Source organism: Homo sapiens, chromosome 17, assembly GCF_000001405.40.
Source record: "Homo sapiens chromosome 17, GRCh38.p14 Primary Assembly".
NCBI lineage: Eukaryota > Metazoa > Chordata > Mammalia > Primates > Hominidae > Homo > Homo sapiens.
Genome location: NC_000017.11, coordinates 48628686 through 48648766, shown reverse-complemented (window position 1 = coordinate 48648766; position 20081 = coordinate 48628686). Strand labels below are relative to the sequence as shown.

Sequence of the window (20081 nt, the reverse complement as noted above, 5' to 3'; positions counted from 1 at the left end):
AACAAAAACAAAACAAAACAAAAACATTTTGGAAGCAAAATTTAGTTTTGTCATATTTCTATATTCATGTTTACGTGGATATAGAATAAAATTCCCATTTGGATGCATTTTTCTCTCAGCGGTTCAAGCTCAACAGAACCTGCAAATGAGAGGAGGCTGCAGAAGCAAAGCATAAGAAGACATATCATGGCTAGGAGCCGTGGCTCACACCTCTAATCCCAGCACTTTGGGAGGCTGAGGCAAGCGGATCACCTGACGTCAGGAGCCGAGACCAGCCTGGCCAACATGGTGAAAACCCGTCTCTACTAAAACTACACAAATTAGCTGGGCGTGGTGGCACACACCTGTGGTCCCAGCTACTCGGGAGGCTGAAGTGGGAGAATCGCTTGAACTCAAGAGGCGGAGGTTGCAGTGAGCCGAGATTGCACCATTGCACTCCAGCCTGGGTGACAGATCAAGACTTCATCTCAAAAAAGAAGACACATCAATCCTAAATCTAAATGTGGTACACACCTAGGAAGACACATCAACCTTAAATGTACACACCTAATAACAGAGCTTCAAAAATATATGAAGCACCGAAAATGATAGAATTGAAAGGAGAAATGGACAAATCCACAATTATAGTAAGATATTTCAACAGTTCTCACTTGGTAAAATCACTTGTAAAATCACTCTGCCCATTTTACAGAGGAAAAACTGAGGCCTAAAAGGAGAAGGGGTGGGGGCTGAAGTCAGTGGCAGAGCCAGGCTTAGGACACAGAGCTCAGGCACACCTCTACATGCCCCCTGGACAACCACCTGCAGGAAGGGACTGGATTGTGAGGGGGTGTCCCCAGTCCCATGCAGGTTGAGGAGGAAGCAGGGTCTCAGGGCTGAGGTCAGGGAGGGGGGGCACTCCTTAGAGACCAGACAGCCAGGAATGCCACTGTTTGTCGTAGTTTCACTGATTTTAAGGAGGTTAAACCTCTATTTGGGTCTCAGAAATAAAGAGAAGAGCCTGCAATTCCAGGATAGCACGCTAACGAAGGGCCAAAACGCAAAGGCGTCCTGAGGGCTAAGATGGAAAGTGAAACTTTCAAGCTCCTTCTCTAACCTTGGCCAAGGTCGTTCCCTCTGGGTTCATAGAATAGGGAGGAACCCATGTAAGGCACAGGGAACAGAAGAAAGGAGGCAGGTAGAGGGACAACCTTCAGCCTGGTGCAGCCATCCCGGTCGAACAACCCCAGGCAGGAGCCGCTCGGTGGCCGAGGATGGCGGGAAGTCGCTGGGCTGCGGCTGGGGCGGGAGGTGGGCGGAGGAGGGTCCGGCGCTCTCTTTCTCCGGATTCGGAGCCCTAAGTGTGGATCAGTCGCCTCCCGCCCAGGGTGTGAGCGCCCCCTCCCCTTCTCAGCCTCCTTCGGCCTCGCCCCTCCCTCTCACATTTCCAACTCCCAAGGATAACTTGTCGCTCGCTTCAGACGCCCATGGCTTCTTTCAGCCCCTGGGACTCAGCTTTCTCCTCTACCTCTTTTGTCTATTTGTGCATTTGATGTTTCTCTGGGCGCGCCCTTGGATCTGCTTCTCTCTTGCCTTTTATATTCTCATATTCTCATATTCTCTCTCTCTCTCTCTCTCTCTCTCTCTCTCTCCCTCCCTCCCTCCCTCCCTCTCTCCCTCCCTCTCTCCCTCTCTGCCTCTCTCCCTCTCTCTCTCTTCTCTCTCTCTCTCTCTTCTCTCTCTCTTCTCTCTCTCTCTGCTCTCTCCGGCCATCTGGGCGCTGCTCCTCCGCGCCTCTGGCCTCCCCGCGGCGCGCCAGGCCCATCTCCTCACCAGCCGCTCTGGGATCCGACGGCGCCGTGGGTGGGGGCAGGTGAGACGGCCGAGCCCCGCCCGGGCGGAGGCAGGAAGCGCTCTCGCCTATCCCCCTCCCGGACCCTGTCCTCGCCCGCCACTCACCGGCGCCAGGGGAACGCAGGAGCGTGAGCCCCTTCGCGCCCCCAGCGCCGTCGGCGTCGCTGCCCCAGACACAGACACTGCCTCGAGAGGCCTCACAGAGGCGGGGGCAGAAGGCGGCGACCCAGAGCCGCCACATCCCCCGCCTTGGGCGCCGTCACAGTCCCCAGACGCCCTGGACTCCTGCAGTCTACGAAGACGCGCGGGGGACGGCGTGGTTCCGAGAGGTAGGTGAGGAGGCGGGCGCAGCCCTTCCTCTCGCAGCTGGGGACTGCGGCGTGAAAGGCCCCTCTCCAAGCTGGGCAGCCCCGTGGCCCGAGCTTTCAGGACCAACCGCCCGTGGCAGGCGTGGGCTTCCCGGGGCCACCGGCTTAACCTTGATCTCCAGACCGAGGCAGCTTCCCGGGTAGGGCCTCGGGGCGCACCCGAAAACGCCTTGGCCTCCCTGTCCGCTGGCACCCGACCCTACCTCTCCAACAGGTGTGTGTGTGGGGAAAGGGGGTCGCCTCCCCTCGTTCTACCGGAAACCCTGGCTCCCCAGAGCCGAGTGCTCAGTGCCCCGCCCAGCCTGAGGCCCTGCGTCCTGGGCCTCCTGCTCACAACCCCGGATTCCAGGCGGATGCCGTGAGAGAGGCAAGGGCCAGACGCCCTGAGCAGCCTTGGGGGTGAGGAATCGCTTGGGATGGAAGAAGGGCCACTTTTCCTAACGGAAATTAGGAATTGGCCTGGAACTCTTGGTCTAGACAGAAGCCCCCAGCTCCCCAAGGTGCAGAATCAGCTCTCCCGCGCGCTGTCTCTCTAGCTGCCTCCTGGCGTGGAGGGGGCAGAATACTTGGGGGAGTCTCTTGCTTTGGCTTTTGGGGGCCTCATAGGTTTTCTTCCCCTCTGGACTGTGAGCAGCCTCCTGCCTGAGAGAGCGTGTATCTGAATCTAAGGAATGCCAGGAGACGCCATCTTATTTGAAACCCACACTCACAAAAACGGGGCATGTGCATTTTTGTGGAGGGACCTGTTGTTTATGGGAGTGGGCAGAGGGCATCCAAAGGATTTCAAACTGTATGGACTGACTCATGGGTCAATACAAAAATTATTCGCCTTTGAAAAGGCATGTAAAGAAAAGCAAGCATAAAGGGGTGTGCATCGTGCATCGTGGGTATTGTGGAGTCTGAGAGGAATTAGTAACTCGCCGGAGTCGGCTAGGAATCTTATATGACAGCAACTGTGCCTCTCGGAGTAGTCAAGCACCGTTTAAAGATTGAGGATTTATACAGACATGCGAAAGAGATGTGAAATTATGTGCTCCCAACTGTGCTCAATAATAAAGGCAGTAGAAGGGAAATTCATATTTTCATCTATATGCCTCCCCCCTCGCAAAGTAGAACATTGCATGGTATATTTCACATAGTCCACATACCAGAGGCGGAATGTGCAACTGACTGCCCAGGACTGTGCTTTCCAGTACAAATGGAAGCACAAAGATGCCTAATGGAGAAGAGTTAAGTGAAAGTTCTCTTTTCTCAGTGCACTTCCCTAACCCTTTGAGGAAGCAAGTCTGGGGGGCCTTTCCTGATAGGATCTTCCCTCCAAATCCCTTTTGGAGCTGGAGCTCCTCTCTTTCCCTAAAGTCTGGCGCACTTGGCTCCAAGTCCCCATTTCTCCAGTCCAGAAGGGATGAAGCCTCCTCCACCCCAAACATATAGCCTTTGGCTCGCTGGGAGGAGAATTGCTCACCTTCTGCGGTGGTTTAGAACACCACCCTACACAGGGATACACATACACAGTGCCCCAGAGGAAATGCAAAGAAAGGTTTTGCTAGTCCAAGCAAGGTGTTGTGGGAGACCTCAGAGACCCTTAGAAAGAGCCTCACTCCCCACACTGCAACTTGAAAGACCCAGGACATCCCTCCCACCCCCAGGACAGACAGGGTTCTCACCAGCTGGGAACGCACAGAGCCCGTGACAACAGGAGGATCTGTTGGGCTGGGAACTTCACATCCCACCCACCCTGCCTCCAACTTCTTTTTTTTTCTGGCCAGATTAAAAGTCAAGCTTAAAGTGCTGTTGGGTTAGAGAGTTTCATTGTTTTAGTCTATTGGTTTCTCTCCCTCATTTTCTTCTCCCTCATCTCCCTTTTACTCCCAGGTTTTGCCCATTTTTTTTCTCTCTCTCCACACAGAAAATCTGTGAATTTTCTGGGCTTGAACGGAAGGAATGAGGAGGGAAAGGAGGGAATATTTGACCTATCCAGGCAGCACTCAGAGCTGTAATTGACACCAAGTCATCCTAGTAGACCTTGTCCTCACAGGCTTAGAGGATATTTGATTCCAGAATCCCCCACCAGCACCCCAAGATCCAGTGGTACCTCCTTCCTCCTTGGGGCTTCTATAGTTTTCAAAAATGGGAGAAATCAAAAATGCCATCATTATTCCAGTGACCGGGTGTGGAGGGAGTCTGCAGTTTGGCCAGAGGCCTGGTCTCAGAGAAAGGAGTCCTGAGGGCTGGGGGGTTGGGGCAAGGCCTAGGGCCAACTTGGTTCTGACCTTGCCTGCCAGTAGAGAATCTTGGGCTCTTCACCAAGTAAAGGCAAGATCAAGGGACTGGAGGTCTGAGTCCCTCTCTTGCCTAACTGCCCCAAGGGCCCCAGAAACTACTCTGGGCCAAAAATCAGTAATAGTTGAAAGAAAGAAACAAATACTGAAAACACCCAGATTTATAATCTGCTTAGACACCCAAACTCATCCTTAAAGCAGTAAATAAAATTTATCTCCTTGACTGCCTTGCAACTTTCTACTCAGTTTGGCAATGTGTAGATGGGGTCAGCTTGAGTTTCAGAGCTTGGGGGTCCAGCACTAAATGTCTAGAGAGCTAGATCTGGGGCCTCTCACCCCCTTTCCTCATATACCTCCTCTTGCTTCCTTCCCCTCCCAGGGCTTCTCAGAAAGTGACAGCTGACTTCCTTTTAGAACTGTGAAATCCCACAATTTCAGAGGATTTCAAATTCCTTGAACTTCAGGTTGAGAGCTATTTGGATTAATCAGAGAAGTTTGTGTCTGGAAAATGATGCCAGATTTAGCCAGAAAACTGAAAGACCAAATGCTTTACTTTTTTTTTCCTTTGTCTGATCTCAGTGCTTATCAGGTCAACCTTCACCTTTAAAAACACCCTGGTGGCAGTATTTCTTTGCCATCACTGTCTGTAAAGCAAAGGGCAAGCATCTCAGGGCTTTTAGTTGGGCCGGGAATTCAAATGTCTCCTTTCTCAAGAAGATGCCAAAGTGGCCACCCTCAGCCCACTTTCCGTCCTTACCTCCTCTGCCCTTTCCCCAGCTGTAGTTATAGGAATAATGGCCTTTAACTTGCAGAGATCATTAAGGCCAAAGCCCTCACTCCTTCCCATCTCTCCTCTTGGGGCCGTCTGAGTCGCTTCCTCCACGACCCTCCTCTTTTGAAGCACTCCCTAGTACTGTTAAAGGCCGAATTTGGGCTGGAGCGAAGATGGGGGCTCAGTCCAAAATAACCTAGATATTAAGTAATAGTAATGATTTTTTTAAAAGGTAACTATGAACTCTCAAGCCTCGACCACCCAGTAAAGTTCCTCCTTAAATTGTTGCCGGCCCTGGGTGCAGACACGCAAGGACTGGCCAGAACGCGAGAAACTTCTTCAAGGAGAGAGAAGTCAGGGCCCAAATTCCTCATGCTTTAAAGCAGTATAAGAGGAGAGAGTCCAAATTTTTACTCGTTAAACCTCCTCTTACCTCTTCCTCAGGTCTGTTCACTCCTTGGTCCAGGGACCGGAGCTCCTGGGCTTCGAGGTGAACCAGAGGGAACGTGGCTCCCCGCAGCAACCTTTTTGCTTCAGGGCTCCTCCTGGGGGCTGAGTGGTCCCCTTTGCTTTGCTATTCCCGCTGCGGCTCCTGGGGGGACAGCTCCGTGGGACCAGGTCTCTCAGGGGGTGGAGGGTCGCCGAAGTCGTGACCAGGAGTTGGAGACCGCTGCGTCCCTCCGCTGCGGACCTGCCTGGGACTGCGTGGAATGGACCAAGTCCTCCGTCTAGGATTCCCTAGTGCTCGACGGCGCGCACTCCGCAGTGCTCCGCTGGAGATCTGCACCTGTGTCCCGGGGCTGGGCGCAGAGTGAAGATCTCCGTGCACGCTGCTGACCGGCTCGGCGACTGCCTCCCTGCTGTGAGCAGGAGAACAGGAAGTCTGCCCGACAGGGAGGTGGCCGGGCGGGAGCGGCAGAGTCGGCGTTGAGAGGAGGGTCAGCTGCACCTCGGGATTCCGCGCGCCTTCAACTCCCTCTTGCGGACAGCCCAGCCGCGGGTTGGCGCCGCAGTGATGGAACCTGGGGAGGGCCTAGCTTAGAGTCCCAGCAGTCCAGAGGAGGGGACCAGAGCAGAGGATTAGGAACGGGGCTTTCATATCCAGCCTAGGCGCCCAGAAGCGGCACTTAAGGGGCGAAGGGAGGCCGCAATTACAAAGGTGCGCCCTCCGACGCCTCAACGTCAAGGGCCTGTAGATTCACAACCTCCTCTGTCGGGGATGGGGGAAGATGAGGTGGGATAGGGAGGCTATGTCCAGCCACCAGCGCAGGGAGTGGCTCTAAACGCTGACCCAACGCCTCGCCCCAAGCGGGATCTTGGCGCGCAGATAGACCGAGCCCGTGGTGGGGCGCCATGCCGGGCTCCCTCGCCCTTACCGAGTGAGCATCTTCTTCCCAATTTGCTGCTCAGAGAGGGAGTGGGTCCTAGTCTCTGGATCTCAGCGCTCACGACTACCTCGCTGCTCCTAACGAACGGTTCATCTGCTCTCTCCTGGCCGCCTGCGCCAGCGCCGCTCACCCACTTTTCCAGCCCTGGATCTCCTCTCCCCGGATGCGTCCTTCCTTCCCACAATTAACAAATGATCTAGCGAAACCCCGCCAGGTCCCCGGCAGAGAAGCACCTCCATCCGCCCTAACCAACCAATTAATCAGATCATTAAGGAGCCTGAGGAGTTGTAATTGGGTGGTTTGGGACGAGGGGGCGCTGAGGAGGTCATTAACCTCCCCGTAAAGATGGGGAACGGAGACGCGCCTGGCCGCCTCTGCCGCCCCTGCCGCCCCTGCCGCCCCTGTGGGCTCTTCTTAGCACGCGGGTTTTGGCCACTCCACCTGCCTGCTGCGCTCCAGTTCCCGCCTCCAGTCCAGCTATTTCACTTCTCTCTTTGTCATTCTCCGTCTTTTCTCTGGCAACCGTCCAGGGCCCCTTTCTTTGTGCCTACTTCTGTCTACCTGTCCAGCTGCCTCTTGCACCCTTTCTGTGGCCCAGCGGCCAAGAAAACTCAAAGGTCATGGCTGTTGGCCCCCGCTGATGATCTCTGGGCTCCCGGGTCTCAGACAATTCCTCAGGGCTGGCTAGAAATGGTGGGAGCTGGAGATTTGGACACTATACCCATTCCCCAAGAGAAGGGCATTTGCAAAGGGGAAGTGTTTCCTGAAACGTTCAATTCTCTTTCGGTATGAGATAGCTTTGGACAAGGTGACAAATGGCGGAAGGTCCAGGCCCCAGTGGATAAAAGCTCCATATTAATTTAATTAGAGACACAGAGACCTTGCATACTCCTTGTCTGCACAGGCAAATATGGAGGAGGTAGTGATTGGGTGTTGTGGCCTGACTGGTCTCAGTCTAAGAGTCCCCAGCACCTGTGACCTGGTTCCTGGTGTTCCAAGAAGTCCAGGTGACAGTATCTGTTCAACCTTGTGGAACAATAAATTGTTTGTCCTTTTAATTTGTCTTGTCAGATCCCCAAGTATATTACAATGCCTCCCTCTGCATTACATTTTTGGTTGGTTGTGTAAGAATGGTGGATGAGAGGTTCTTAACATTTTGGGGCCACTCCCTGATATGATAATTTAAATTTTGATGAACAATATTGATTCCCCTCTACCCAGAAAAAAAATGTGCGTATGTAGTACTCACCAAATCCCACAATTTCAGAGAGTTTCAGACTCCTCAGACACCAAGTTAACAACTACAATTTGGATAGATCAAAGGAGCTGGTGTCTGGGAAATGCCGAGGCCAAATATAGTCAGTTTACGTAGGTCTTCACCCTTTCTCTTGGCTGACATCTCCATTTTGCCAGGCCAGCCTTCACCTGTAAAAACACTCCGGTGGCAGTGTCCTCTCCCCACCATTACCTGTAGGGTCTGGGCTCCCAGTGGGAGTCAGTCTTTCCTTCCCAGCAGCTGGGAGCCTGAGAACGTGGGAAGAGCTTTGCTGGGGAAAGCTGATCTTAGACTGGCCAGCAGTTGGACCAGCAATGGAAGGAAATCAGGCTTAAGCAGCTTCCCAGGGACTAAAAACCATACCAGAACTCCTGGAAGGGAAGACTATCTGGAAACAGCCTCCTAACTAAAGCTGCCTATAAGTCAAGCAAATGGGGACTGGGCAATAGAATGTTCCTTTGTGTCCCTTATTGACTCACTTATTCCATTTCCTCAGGGACCCAGCTCTACTTGGGGCTGATTTAGCCAAGGTTAGAGGCTGGGGAATACCAAATGCTGAACTTAAAGGGGAAGGATTTGCTCCCTAATATTTTAGTAATCTTGTTTGTAAGAGATAAACAGCATGTGACCCCTGACTATCCTGGGGGACCTCCTAATTACGCCCAGCCTCTTGTGTTGTGGCCTGTTTAGACACAGAGTGTAAAGAAGGACTTAGCTCTTCTTTCCCGGCCTATTAAGTTTCCTGGCCATCTCCCCACATGTGTGAATTGACCAAGCTAGATCTCCCAGGAGAAAAATCAGGCTTCTTTGGGGTCTGGGAAGTAAAAAGAAACTTCCTTTTTCAAGGACTATGTTAAGACAAATTAGGAGAACTGGAAATTATCTGGCTAATTGTACCCTCCCCCTCCATACATACTTACACTCCAAACCCAAGCCCTCCTGGCTGCTCCTCAATTGTCTATACATTTCAAACAAATGTGACTTGGCACAGGAAAGACTCCAACTCATTTCTAGTTGCCCCTCTCTGTGCTGCACAACCACCACCCACCTGCCCAGCAGTTCGAGGCTGTGACAAGAAGCCAATGGTTGGCTAATAGTATTCAGACCCCTGCCTGAAAATACAAAGAAAAAAATAAACAATTCTCTTCTTGGGACAGCTTAAACTGGATAATCTTGGCTGTGAAAACCTGACCTAAATGCTTTTAATCAGAGCAGAAGAAATATATGCTCATTTGCTCCCTACTTTACTAATTAAAGAAAGCTAATTGGTGTTCTCAGAAACTTCCAACTGAGGGTCAGGAGCCTCTAGCCATCTCTTTGCCTGCCCCACCCCTCCCTGCACTGGGCCATCTGCACCATGGAGTTGGCCTTTTTCTGATAGACAATTAGAAGGGGGTGCTCCCGACCTTCTGGCTCCGCCCCTGCACTAGGACTTGGCCCTGAAAAGGCAGTGCTGCTATTGGCCAGAAGTTCTTGCCCAGCAGGCTTGTCTTCCTTCTTGTGTCCTGGACTTGTTTCTAGGAGCCAAGACCTCTTGCTGGCTGCCACATCGGCACTGCCAACCGGTGGGGTGCAGCCCTGCTGAAGCCCCAGAGCTCAGCCCAGTGCTGGGCACATAGTAGGCGCTCAGGAAATGATTGCTGAATGTGGAATGAAAGTCCCCAGCAGGCAAAAGGCTGTGACTTCTGTTAGTGGGGTGGTGGTCCTCTGGGGCGAGTGTATGGAGAACTTCAAGGCCTCCTCCTGGCTGCCCAGGAAGTAGGTAAGACCTGATTTTTGTCAAGCGTTTCTTAGATGTTTTGTTTAATTCCAGCTTCGTGGCCCCCTATTTCTTGTCTACCCATTTTCTAAGGCAGGACCGTGCTCACCACAGCAAAGGGAAATAACTCCTTGAAAAGCCAAAGGAATACAAGCCACCACTTCTCAGACCTTTCCCCTATGAGATCCAGATACTACAGGCTAAAGGGAGTTTGAACCTGAAATGAGCCAGATAATTGCCCCAATTCTCTGTACCTTATTGAAGAGGTAGTTACAGGCCAAGGGGTCCAAGGGGCCTCACTTTTATAGACATTGCTCTAAGTCAAAAGAATACATTATACATATACAGCTGAGACACACACCCTCCGTCCTAGGCTGGCTCTCTGTGAACAAAGCAGGTTTCCTCCTTGCCACTCACCCCCACCCCCCATACCACTTTCCCCCTCCTCTTTTCTCTTCGTCCTCCTCCTTATTATTAATAGTTACTATTTACTAAATGCTGCCTGTGCACCTGGTATTGTGCTAAATGCTAGACACATAGTACATCATAGTACATTAATTAATCCTTACATCAACTTTAAGAGTTAAGACACCAGATTTTACAGATGCAGATACTAAGAGTTACTTTTCAAGCATGAAGCACGTGTGTGTGTGTGTGTATGTGTGTATGTGAGAGAGAGAGAGAGAGATACAGGCAGATCTGAGTGCTCAAGTGTTATAAAGATAGAAATAAAGAAAATTGAGAATGCGGAGATCTTAAAGTTTTGAAATATAGATGCTTTAAAAGGATGCAGATAATTCCTCCTGCCCTAAAGTGAACAAAGAAGTGAGGCAATTAACTGGCTAATTCCAAGACCCAAATGCTTTCCCTTGAAATGGGCAGATAATGAGGCTGACAGTATGTTCGCAGTTGAATTCGCCTGATGTTGCTCCATTTTTTTCCCTAACTTTAGCGAATCCGTTGGGCAATCACAGTGAGATGCACAGACGTCACCCCAGACGTGCACATATTCACACACACACTCACACACAGGAATGCTGACACATACAGACCCGACTTTATTCTGCCTCTACAGTCTTTTATGACTCAGCCTCCAGAATGAAAATAGGGGTTGGAGCGAAATAATGTGTCCGAGGGTGCAGCTGCTCCAGATGTGCGCTGGGTAATTAGGCATCCTCAAGAGCTCCTGCCCGGCTGGGAAATGCACCTCTTGTGGGACTGTAGACCCCAGCAGGCGCCCCATCATAGTCTGCCCCATAGTAGGTGCCTGTCCTTTGCTGCCTGGTCCCAGCAGCCCGTCCCTCCTCTTGTTGCCTTCCTCCTCCGCAGGTGATTCTCTGGCTCCTCTGTTTTAGGAATAACTTTGCAGAAATGTCTCTCAGAGGGCTCTGCAGTATAAAATGGCATCTCTGCCACAGGGGAAGGGGAAGAGGGACCCTGGTTTCTCCTATCCTGCTCTTCCTAGGCCCTGGACGTTTCTGAGGGGCTCATTCCAGAACAAGACCTCTCTTTCCTTGCTCCACAAGAATTTAACAAAGAGGCCCTATTTGGGCCAAGAAGGAGAGTGGCCTGACTGGCCCTAACCCCCCTCGTTTGGGGGCTGTGGAGCAGTCCTGCTGCTGGCAGCTTCTCTTAGTTGTTGAGTCTCTTTCACAAAGCATTCACACTTCACAACTTCCCTTTCCAGTAGGTCTTCATCTGGGCACCTCGGGGCCTAAGGCACTTGGCCAGGGTCATGCAGCTAGGGACGTCATAAGTGAGGAGTTGGCATTTCTTGGAAGAGGGGGCTGGATTTGCCCTGGCTTTGAATCCTGTACTGGCTGTCCCTATATCCGCCTCTAGTTTTCTTATGGGCCTCCCCAAATTTGAAACCCAAGAAACGCCAAACTTCCAACATAGAAAACACCAAAAAGCTGCCTTTCTGGAGATGAATTTTGCTTACAAGAAAGACACGTTTGGAGGGGGTGAATGGTCGTGGTAATTTGGGGTAAAGAACATTCCACTTGGAATAGAGGGCTCCTCCTCCAGCCCTGCTTCACCACTTTTAATAGCTGCTCCGATCTTGGGCTAATCACTTAATTCCTTCGGACCTCAGTGTCTTCTTTTGCAAGCTGGGGGAGGGGTTTAAAGATGCTGGCGCTGCCCTCTAGCCGGCTGCTGGGGACATCAAAGGAGATTCGGGCTGTGGAAGGCTCCCTAGCGTCGGAGATGGAGTTAGGAGGTAAGGGCCAGGGGGTGGGAGCGGATGGGGCCTTGATTAGCTGTGGATTTCTGTCCCAGCGCACTCATTTAACCGTGTTTCTCTTGGTTGGCAGAGGGCGCCAAAGGCGACGTGCCGGCCGCCAGCTCCAGGCCGAGCCCCGAGCGCCTGCAGGAACACGCCCCTTCACCCGGCGCGGGACGCAGAGCTGCGAGAGAATCTTGTTCAGCGCGGACTCAACGCCAGGGCGCCGCCTAGAGGTTGGTCTCTGTCTCGGCCTCACCCGCCGGGAGACCACAGAGCTGCTTCCCCAGCCGCCCGCCGCCAGAAATTGGAAAAAAAAAAAAAAAAAAAAAAAAAATCCAGCTGGGGTCTAGGAACTCGGCTTCTGGCACCTCTGAATTCTCCGAGACTGTCTCCTCCCTCCCCGCCTGTAATGAACCCTGTGAAGGGAGACAGGCCAGGAAGTCCCAGAAATATTTATTCTTGTGACTCTCACAAAATGGAAAAGGGTCTCAATTTTTGTTTCTTTAAGGAACTTGTGTTCTGCGTCTGTGTCTACACTGCCTCCTCTCACCAACCAAATTGTCTAGCCCCCCTCCAGTTACGCTAGAACTCTGCTTTATCTTCAAGGAAGAAAGGGAGTGGGGAGAAGTTACCTCTAAACCCTCCAGCATGGCCATCAATTTTCTGAATAATTTGGAGGTCAACATGCTTTTGGAAAAGTGTTTGGAAAACGTTTGGGGGTGAAAAGAAATGTTGCCTAACTGGCCTTTACTCACGGAGTGACCATCATCTCAGCTAGTTAGTGTATGAGCGGCACCAGCACCCCGGCCATGGGTGTCTGTGCTGAGCCTCTGAAAGTTGACTTATCCTTTGGGGAGCCCTCGGAAAGACACAGCTGGTATCTATGGGAATGGCTTTGGGGTGTCCTTTGGCACCATACAGATAATTTTGTTTTTTTAATTGGAATCCATGGCCTGGGTTCTTGGGATGGGGGTAGGGGGAAGCCACAAAGCCCCTGGAAATGTATGCAAAACATATGGGTGTGCAGGTGCATCATCCTAAGGCTATGGCCTCTTCAGTTTTTCCAAAGAGTCTAAGACTATAAAAGGTTTCCATCTCCTTTTCTCAGCCAGGGAGCCACAGAGACCCAGGCCAGCAGTAGGCTGGGAGCCAGCACACCGGCCCCCACCAGGTGCCCGGTAGGGGATGGGTAATAACACTCTTGAATGGTCTGGAAACTGCTGGCCCCTCAGTCCTGCCGTCCTCCCAGAGGGAAATCCTAATAGAAGAAGTGACAGCCAGTAGCTGCCATCTCAGTATTTTGAATGAAAATATAACATGATAAAGAGCAAATGAGGGAGGCTGGAGGGGCCTCCCCATGCAAATACTGGAATATGAATGTTGGCCAGAAATAAGATACTTCCTGCCCTCCAGCTGTTAAAGAGCTCCCCAATTCCTCCCTTTTGGTGCTAGGAAGGGGCCAGAGGGCACTGCCCCCAGACCACCACCCACCTCTGGAGAGCTGGGGCCGAGTGGGACTGCCTGCAGCAGAGTTAACCCTTCAGAAAATTCAAAACCTATACTGCCTAGTATTTTCCCTGCCCGTTTATTTTTTAATCAGATTTTTAAAATATCCAGCAGCACTTTGGTGCCTTTTCTTGGGGTTGGGGAGTGGGGTTATCTATGTGTGTATCTATGGGAAGGTGGGTGCCTTCAGTGCACTAAACCCCCTCTTGGGCCTGCAGCTGGACCTCACTCCTGTACCTGAACACTCTGCCTGAGCCTGAGCTAATCTTAGCCATCCATTGTGTCTCAAAACTGTTTTGGAGGTGAATAACTGTGAGGCAGGATGGAGAACCTTTTGCTCTCCCATCCAGAAGGGCACCTAACCAGGCCCCTGGAGCAGACAAAAGGAGCAGGAAGTCAATCACTTCGATCCCAGTTCTCTGAAGCCCAAGAAGAAAACGGATTTTCCTTCGTTTTGGTTCGGAGGCCTAGTAGAGAATTTGGATTCCACCAAGTTCTCTTTTTTCAAAAAAAGTAAACGGTCCAGAGCAGACAAAAACTGTGGAAACTTGAGGCCTGGGTAGTAGTGGTTTTGTTTGATTTTGAGGCTTTAAAGAGATAAGGAGACGGTGGTGGAGCTCCGCCACGCCGCGTGGCTCTCACTTCCACGCCGAGGAAGACCGACCGGCCCCTAGGTTTATCCTCTGGGAGCCCCCGGCCCAATCAGCCCCCTTCAGGCCTTGGGAGTCACCCCGAGTCTTATCTTCTGTCCCCTTCCAGCAAGTACCCGGCAATAAACGGGCAGGGCTGGGCAAAGGTCTGGCCGCTAGAAACGGAAAAGGAAAGAGAAAAGTAAAGTTAAACAAAAAACAAAAACAAAAAACCCTTGGGTCGGGCGCGGTGGCTTACGCCTGTAATCCCAGCACTTTGGGAGGCCGAGGAGGGTGGATCACGAGGTCAGGAGTTCAAGATCAGCTTGGCCAATATTGTGAAACCCCGTCTCTACTAAAAATACAAAAATTAGCCGGGCGTGGTGGCGGGCGCCTGTAGTTCCAGCTACTCGGGAGGCTGAGGCAGGAGAATCGCTTGAACCGGGAGGCGGAGGTTGCAGTGAGCCGAGATCGCGCCACTGCACTCCAGCCTGGGTGACACAGCAGGACTCTGTCAAAAAAAAAGAAAAAAGAAAAAACCCGCTTTCAGCGGAAAGATGCAAAAAATGGAGGCCACCGGGCGTGGTTGGGAGAGCCTGGGCTTTCGCAAGGAAGCGCCAGGGAGCCCAGTTCTGCTCTAGCGAGAAGCAGGGAGCCTCATCCCAAGCCCGGCGGGCCGAGCCGATCATAGGGTCTGCGCGGGGCTCTGTGGATTTTCCGTGTAGGCGGCGGCTTCCAGTCTCTGCCGGGCGCGGGCTGGGTCAGCGCCGACTCCTCCGAGAGAAGAGCGCGCCTGGCGGCCGGTTCGGCGGAGGCCAAGTCCCGGGGGCTGGGGCTGCTTCTCTCCACGCGGACAAAGTGTGCGGGCAAAGAAAGGGGCCGAGGCGGGTGCTTCTGCCGCTCGTAAATTTGTTTCCCCTTCCTTTTAATCCGCCCCCGGACGTCTTTCTTTTCAGGACAGGAGGGGATGTAAACCGTTTGAAGTTCATCAACACGGTGAAGTTTTATTGTATTTCCGGTCCCCAAGATTTATACCCGGGAGGGGGAGCGGGCGGCCAGGTGGACTCCCTCGCTACCTCGGACTTCCCTGCCGGACACGTGGCCACTCGGACCCTCGCTTCTGGGCGAGGGCGGGAGGGAGCCTGGACTGGGCCGCGGCCGCTGGCTCCGCACCTTCCGACGGCCGCGCACTGCCGGCACCGCCGCCGCCCAGGTAAGTCCGCCGCCGCCCTCGGCCTGCACAGCTGCGTTTTTGCGATGGGTGCGGGTGTGAGCGTGAGCACCTGTGAGCAGGCGGGTGTCTGGAGAGGCAGAGGTGAGGAGCGGGCACGTTAGGGGGCCAAGGACCCAGACCGAAGGTCAGGAAGGAGGAAGCAAATTTGTTCTCTGTGTCCCAATCCCAGTCCTTAGCCTCTCAGTCCTTATTCTGCGAAGATTCGGAATGAATTGTCTTACCTGGGGCAGCTCGGCCTCTGCAGAGCCAGGGCCCTGGGACATTTTGGGCAGGGTGCCTTCACAGCAACTGTTCAGATCAACCGGCTTTCCCCTCCAAATCCCATTCTTCCTCTGTTTGTTCCCTAGAATTCCCGAAACTTTCTGACACTCTGCTTTTCCACCTTTCTCTCTGTCACTTTCTTTCTCAGCACTCTTTTGTCTCACTCTCCTGTCTGAGCCCCAATCTCAAAGCTGGGGGGTGTGTAGGACTTGAAGATCTGGCCTCTCAGAGCTACACTGGGAGGCTGGGTGACCTGGAATACAGGGGCTAGCAGGGTGCTGAGTATAGATGCACCTTCGTATCTGTTTGAAGTTGAGAATTCTTTTTATCTGTGGAGACCTCCAGCTGGGCTGAGAGGCAGAGACTGAGCAGGTATATCAAAGAGGCCCTGCCCAGGCTTGTGCCTGTGTCTAGGGTCTTCTTCTCTGGCCAGGGCTCCTGGAAGGCAGCAAATGTCTCTGGAATCTGAGCTATCAGGACCGGCTCCAAAATGGTTTTACCTAGAGTCCTGGGTTCAGTTCTTCCGATGTGTTGTTTAGTAGCAACTGGGTTCTTCTGTTGGGGAAGAGGTGGAGCAAAATGAAGTTAAGCCGCTTTTTGGCCCACAAAAAAATGGCCACAGGGTTTGCCCCCAGTGAGCTCTTGACCTAGAGCTTGAATTGGAACTGCTGAGTGAATTAGGTAGTTTCATGTTGTTGGGCCTGGGTTTCTGAACACAACAACATTAAACCACCCGATTCACGGCAGTTACTGCTCCTTGCTTAGCTGGAGGAGTTGGGGGAGGGGAGCAGAATCAGGACTGGAAGATCAACCTTGCAAAATGGGGAAGAGGTTTGAGGTCCTTCATCCAGGAGCAACAAGGATGTTCCCCCAGAGAAGAGATCTGGGAAGTGTCTTCCCACTTCTGAATGTTTTTTTGTGTGTGTGTTAGGAGGGGAAGGGGGATGAGGAGCAGTCAACTCTCCCGAGGCACCTCCCTGGCCCTGTTGGGCTGTTCAGCCCAACCCAAAGATGGCAGTCAGAGCTCCAACTTCCAGCCTTAGGGTCTCTGAGCTCTCAACTACATCCAGAACTTTCCAGAGAAACTCTCCCCAACTTCACAAATATTTGATTTCAAAAGAAATGCAGGGGGTTCTTGAGGTTTTTGTAACTCTTTGCGGGCTGGTGCTCCACCTCAGCAGGAAGCTTCAGGTCCTTGAAGAGGGCTCAGTAGGTCTCATTCTGAAAGGCAAACACTGAGAGCTCTTGCAATCTCAGCCTAAAGCCCTCAGGGTCCTGTCGAAGGCCCCCTATGGGACCAGACCTACAGAAGTAGGTCCGAAAAGTCCTTCCTTTCCTAATCCCTCAGTTGACTTTTTCCTCCCCACCCACCCCAGTGGCCAAAGGCTTCCCACTGGCCTTGGGCTGGGCTGGGGGTACACATAGGTCCTGAGTGCCACCTCCTTGGAGAGGGGCCTGACTTGCAAGCTAATGGGGAGCCCAGGTTGTTGGACAATTCAACCCCGACTGATGCAGTGACAAGGGATGAAACCAGGGGTTGGGCAGGGCAAGACTCTGATACCCTCTCTGACCTCGGTCCTCTTAAGGCTGTTGGCCCTGTGCCCAGGAAAGGAATAACTAGAAGTGCTGGTGGAAGAAGGGGGACTTTCCAAAGCATAAGCTAACTTTTGTTCCCAAACCTTCCCCCTGCTGCTTGAGGCAGAGGAAATGTGCAAAGGGGCCCGGGAAAGAGGCCCGACCGGATGGGGCTTCGGCGCCAGGCTGACTTGGAGGGCCAGGGGGTCTCTGAACAAGGGGCTTCTGCTAGAGCAGAGGGGCATTAGGGAGACCCACCCCTAGCCTAGGGGAAATGGAGCCTTCAACCCACTGTCCTGATAAGCAAAGGCTAACAACTCTGTCCCTTGACAGTTTCTCATCCTCTGGTCTGGGTGGAGATGGCCTGGCGCGTCCCTGCGGCCTTATCTCACTTCTCCCTGGGCCTCTCACAAACCTGCCCAGTCACTCAGAGCCTGACTGTCTTCCATCCCTGGTGTCCCTTGGCCACCCCCTCCCAGGAAAAGTGCTGTAAAAAGAAAAAAGGAGAATGTTAGAGAGAAAGGAGGAAATAAAGTCTTTGGAAAGCAGAGTTTTACAACAGCCACAGGTTTTATGGAAGCAATTTCGTAATAACCTTCTACCTGCTCGCCTCCTTTCCGCCTGCCTGCCGCCCACCCCGTTTGGCCTCCTGGATGCCCCCTCCCAAGGAGTCAGCCACCCCCATCGCCTTGGATATCCTTGATGGCTGAGAGTTGGTAAGAAGATTCCTGAGGTGGGCTTGGGCCACTGACCTCTCAGTCCTTCCTTTCACCTCTGACATCCTGGGAGGGAGGTTTGGCAGAAGATTTCATTACTTCACAATTAAGATCCCCACTTGGGGGGTGTGGAAGCACCGAGATTTGAACCTGAGTATGCAGATTCGATGTGATACCTGTTTTGGAGGCCGTTTTGCATAAAGGGTAAGGATTTTGCGATCTTGTGTCCTTTCCCACTGGGGCAAGTGTCCTCATGCCTCACTCTTTCCCAGAGTGGGTCTGGACTGTGATCTTGAGTCTGAAGAAATACCTCTGGTGCTTGGAGACATAGATTTGGGGACTTTTCTAATTTTGTTGTACACAGCAGTGCTTTTGCTTGACCTCCACAGTCACTTTCACACTCGGCTCATCTCTGTCCACCTCTGCTTCATAATTCTGTGAGACACATGTGCTTATAAGTAACTGTGCCTCCACCCCCGCGCTCATCGCTGTCATGAAATAGGCATCACACAATGCACACCGTCCCTGCGGTCTTGGGTAAGAAACACAGTAAAGGATTTTATGGTCAAACAAAGAAGTCACAAAATTTCATAACCTCTTCTGGGCCACTTTGAAGCATTTATTTTACCTTCCAGAGAAACATTTTGGAAAGAAGTTGTCGTAGAATCAACGTAGTGTTAAGTCATATGCACTTGTTTGAGGATACGCTGTATATTTTGCTTGAATATCAAGTCAAGGGACAGATTTTCAAGTGCGACATCTGAATTAGCTAATATTTTATAGCCATAATTCAAGTACACAAATACCCAAGCTTTTGCCTTTTCCATAGGTGTGTGATGGTTATAAAAATGTACACACAACCTTTTGGGTAACTGATCTTCTTACACGAGCAGAATCAGAAACCTCCATCACTCACAGAGGTTATGCATGCATCCACATATGCACGATTAGATCCTGCATACACGAACGCCCAAGCACAGCAAGTTTCATAGTTGGGCAGATTTATTTATTACATATTCTATATACAGTATAGAGCAGAGTGCATTTGCACACTGGGTTCCCCATACAGAAATATTGATTTGAAATATACATATAGGACACACACATCTATTTACATTAAACACGCGTAAATTTCAGCTAAGCTTATTAATTAAAAACAAACTATTTTTCCCCATTCTCACTTATTGTTTTTCTTTCTTCTCCCATTTCCTTCCCTTCCTCTAGATTTTCTCTCTCTTCTTACTGACAAGGACCCTTCCAAAAGTCACCCCCACAGCATAGGCACTCACCGGCTGGTCGGCCTCTGCTCTTCAAACCTCGGCCTCACTGTTGGCTGCTCTGGGCCCCAGTGTGGCCAGGAGCTGCGCTTTTTTCCCTGCTTGCCCTTCTCCAAGCTACCAGCTACTGGCCCCAGCTGTGTTCAGGCGAGGCTCCAGTGCAGGGAATGGCAAAAGGCTGCAAGGGAAGGCAGGGTTTTCCTTCTTTCTGTTTAGGATTGGGGGTGGGGTATGGAGCAGTTTTGCTCTCTTAGGATAAGGTGACCCCCACTGAAGCAACCCCTTTACTAAGTGTCTTTGGAAGCTGGGCTCCAGGAGCCACAATCCTGTTTGCTATCCTCCTTCATGGTGGGTACCATTGTCTGGGGAGAAAACAAGGCTTTTTTGGTGGGAGGGAGTCCACAGTCTCTCAGCTGACCCTTTAATCATTTGCCTGAGCTGGAGTTGAACTCCAGTTTGGGGCAGCAGTGCTTTCCAGAAAGCTTGGCTGGGGTGGGACTCCTTGCTTGGTGCATTTACCTGGACGGCAAAGAGCTGGGATGCAGACTACAGGGCTTAGGGGCCAGTTCATTCTCTTTCCTCTGGAGTCATTGCTCCCTGAGAAGACCAAGACCTCCAAAACCTGTCATTTTAAAATTGTCTCCACTCTCCAGCTTCTTCATGAGCAAAGGCTAAGTTCCGATCTCAGAAAAGAGGCCTAAGTCCCCTTCTCACCCAGCACTCAGGAGCCACCAGGGAATAAAGGGCAACTCCTCAGACAGACAGCAACCCACAAACCCAAATCTTGTCTGCTGGGAGAACTCACCCTTGTAGAGCACAAGCCATCAGCCCAAGTGTTCTTCTTCCTCTAACTTCTTCCCTAAACTGAGTGGTCCTCTTGACTCCTCTCTTGTTGCAGAGAGGCAGCTGCAAAGTCAGGGCAGGAGAGGGAAGGGGAACCAGGAAGACGGCAGTCAGAGCGCAGTGCCTGCTTTGCTT

The 20081-nt window shown here is 52.0% G+C and overlaps 3 long non-coding RNA genes and 1 other non-coding gene across 11 annotated transcripts in view, besides 6 other annotated features; 2 read left to right on the top strand and 2 right to left on the bottom strand.

Annotated features, from left to right (window-relative positions):
- Positions 1 to 6140, bottom strand: part of LINC02086 (long intergenic non-protein coding RNA 2086) — a 64720-nt gene extending 58580 nt beyond the window's left edge. For 3 of the 5 annotated variants that reach the window (NR_189648.1, NR_189647.1, NR_189646.1), the window contains exon 1: positions 1813 to 2008. This is a non-coding gene — a long non-coding RNA (long intergenic non-protein coding RNA 2086). Of the gene's footprint in view, positions 1 to 1812; positions 2009 to 2404 lie in introns of those variants that run through there. The other 2 variants (NR_189645.1, NR_189644.1) reach the window with 2 other exon arrangements.
- Positions 1122 to 1331: an enhancer, noted in NCBI's record as "active region_12339". NCBI's record gives its function as "activates an Ori minimal core promoter by ATAC-STARR-seq in GM12878 lymphoblastoid cells {active_cell/tissue: GM12878}" and the evidence as "EXISTENCE:reporter gene assay evidence [ECO:0000049][PMID:35858748]".
- Positions 1710 to 2378: an enhancer, noted in NCBI's record as "H3K27ac-H3K4me1 hESC enhancer chr17:46723751-46724419 (GRCh37/hg19 assembly coordinates)". NCBI's record gives its function as "activates a minimal SCP1, AML or CMV promoter by ChIP-STARR-seq in naive H9 embryonic stem cells {active_cell/tissue: H9 hESC(naive)}" and the evidence as "EXISTENCE:reporter gene assay evidence [ECO:0000049][PMID:30033119]".
- Positions 1822 to 2001: a silencer, noted in NCBI's record as "silent region_8658". NCBI's record gives its function as "represses an Ori minimal core promoter by ATAC-STARR-seq in GM12878 lymphoblastoid cells {active_cell/tissue: GM12878}" and the evidence as "EXISTENCE:reporter gene assay evidence [ECO:0000049][PMID:35858748]".
- On the top strand, positions 1915 to 13963 carry LINC03057 (long intergenic non-protein coding RNA 3057). 3 transcript variants are annotated; one of them, NR_186590.1, is made up of 2 exons: positions 1915 to 2162; positions 11994 to 13963. It is a non-coding gene; the product is annotated as a long intergenic non-protein coding RNA 3057 (long non-coding RNA). The 3 variants fall into 3 exon arrangements; NR_189643.1 differs by lacking the exon at positions 1915 to 2162 and adding an exon at positions 9437 to 9677; NR_189642.1 differs by lacking the exon at positions 1915 to 2162 and adding an exon at positions 9437 to 9681.
- Positions 2222 to 2271: an enhancer, noted in NCBI's record as "active region_12338". NCBI's record gives its function as "activates an Ori minimal core promoter by ATAC-STARR-seq in GM12878 lymphoblastoid cells {active_cell/tissue: GM12878}" and the evidence as "EXISTENCE:reporter gene assay evidence [ECO:0000049][PMID:35858748]".
- Positions 5546 to 6542: an enhancer, noted in NCBI's record as "H3K27ac-H3K4me1 hESC enhancer chr17:46719587-46720583 (GRCh37/hg19 assembly coordinates)". NCBI's record gives its function as "activates a minimal SCP1, AML or CMV promoter by ChIP-STARR-seq in primed H9 embryonic stem cells {active_cell/tissue: H9 hESC(primed)}" and the evidence as "EXISTENCE:reporter gene assay evidence [ECO:0000049][PMID:30033119]".
- Positions 6543 to 7541: an enhancer, noted in NCBI's record as "H3K27ac-H3K4me1 hESC enhancer chr17:46718588-46719586 (GRCh37/hg19 assembly coordinates)". NCBI's record gives its function as "activates a minimal SCP1, AML or CMV promoter by ChIP-STARR-seq in naive and primed H9 embryonic stem cells {active_cell/tissue: H9 hESC(naive and primed)}" and the evidence as "EXISTENCE:reporter gene assay evidence [ECO:0000049][PMID:30033119]".
- HOXB-AS4 (HOXB cluster antisense RNA 4) lies at positions 13835 to 20069 on the bottom strand. 2 transcript variants are annotated; one of them, NR_046611.1, is made up of 2 exons: positions 19909 to 20069; positions 13835 to 14216 (listed from the first exon to the last, which is right to left on the bottom strand). It is a non-coding gene; the product is annotated as an HOXB cluster antisense RNA 4 (long non-coding RNA). The 2 variants fall into 2 exon arrangements; NR_170224.1 differs by lacking the exon at positions 19909 to 20069 and adding an exon at positions 19116 to 19246.
- MIR196A1 (microRNA 196a-1) lies at positions 16208 to 16277 on the top strand. The gene has a single exon (NR_029582.1). It is a non-coding gene; the product is annotated as a microRNA 196a-1 (primary transcript).
- Positions 20070 to 20081: the final 12 nt, after the last annotated feature.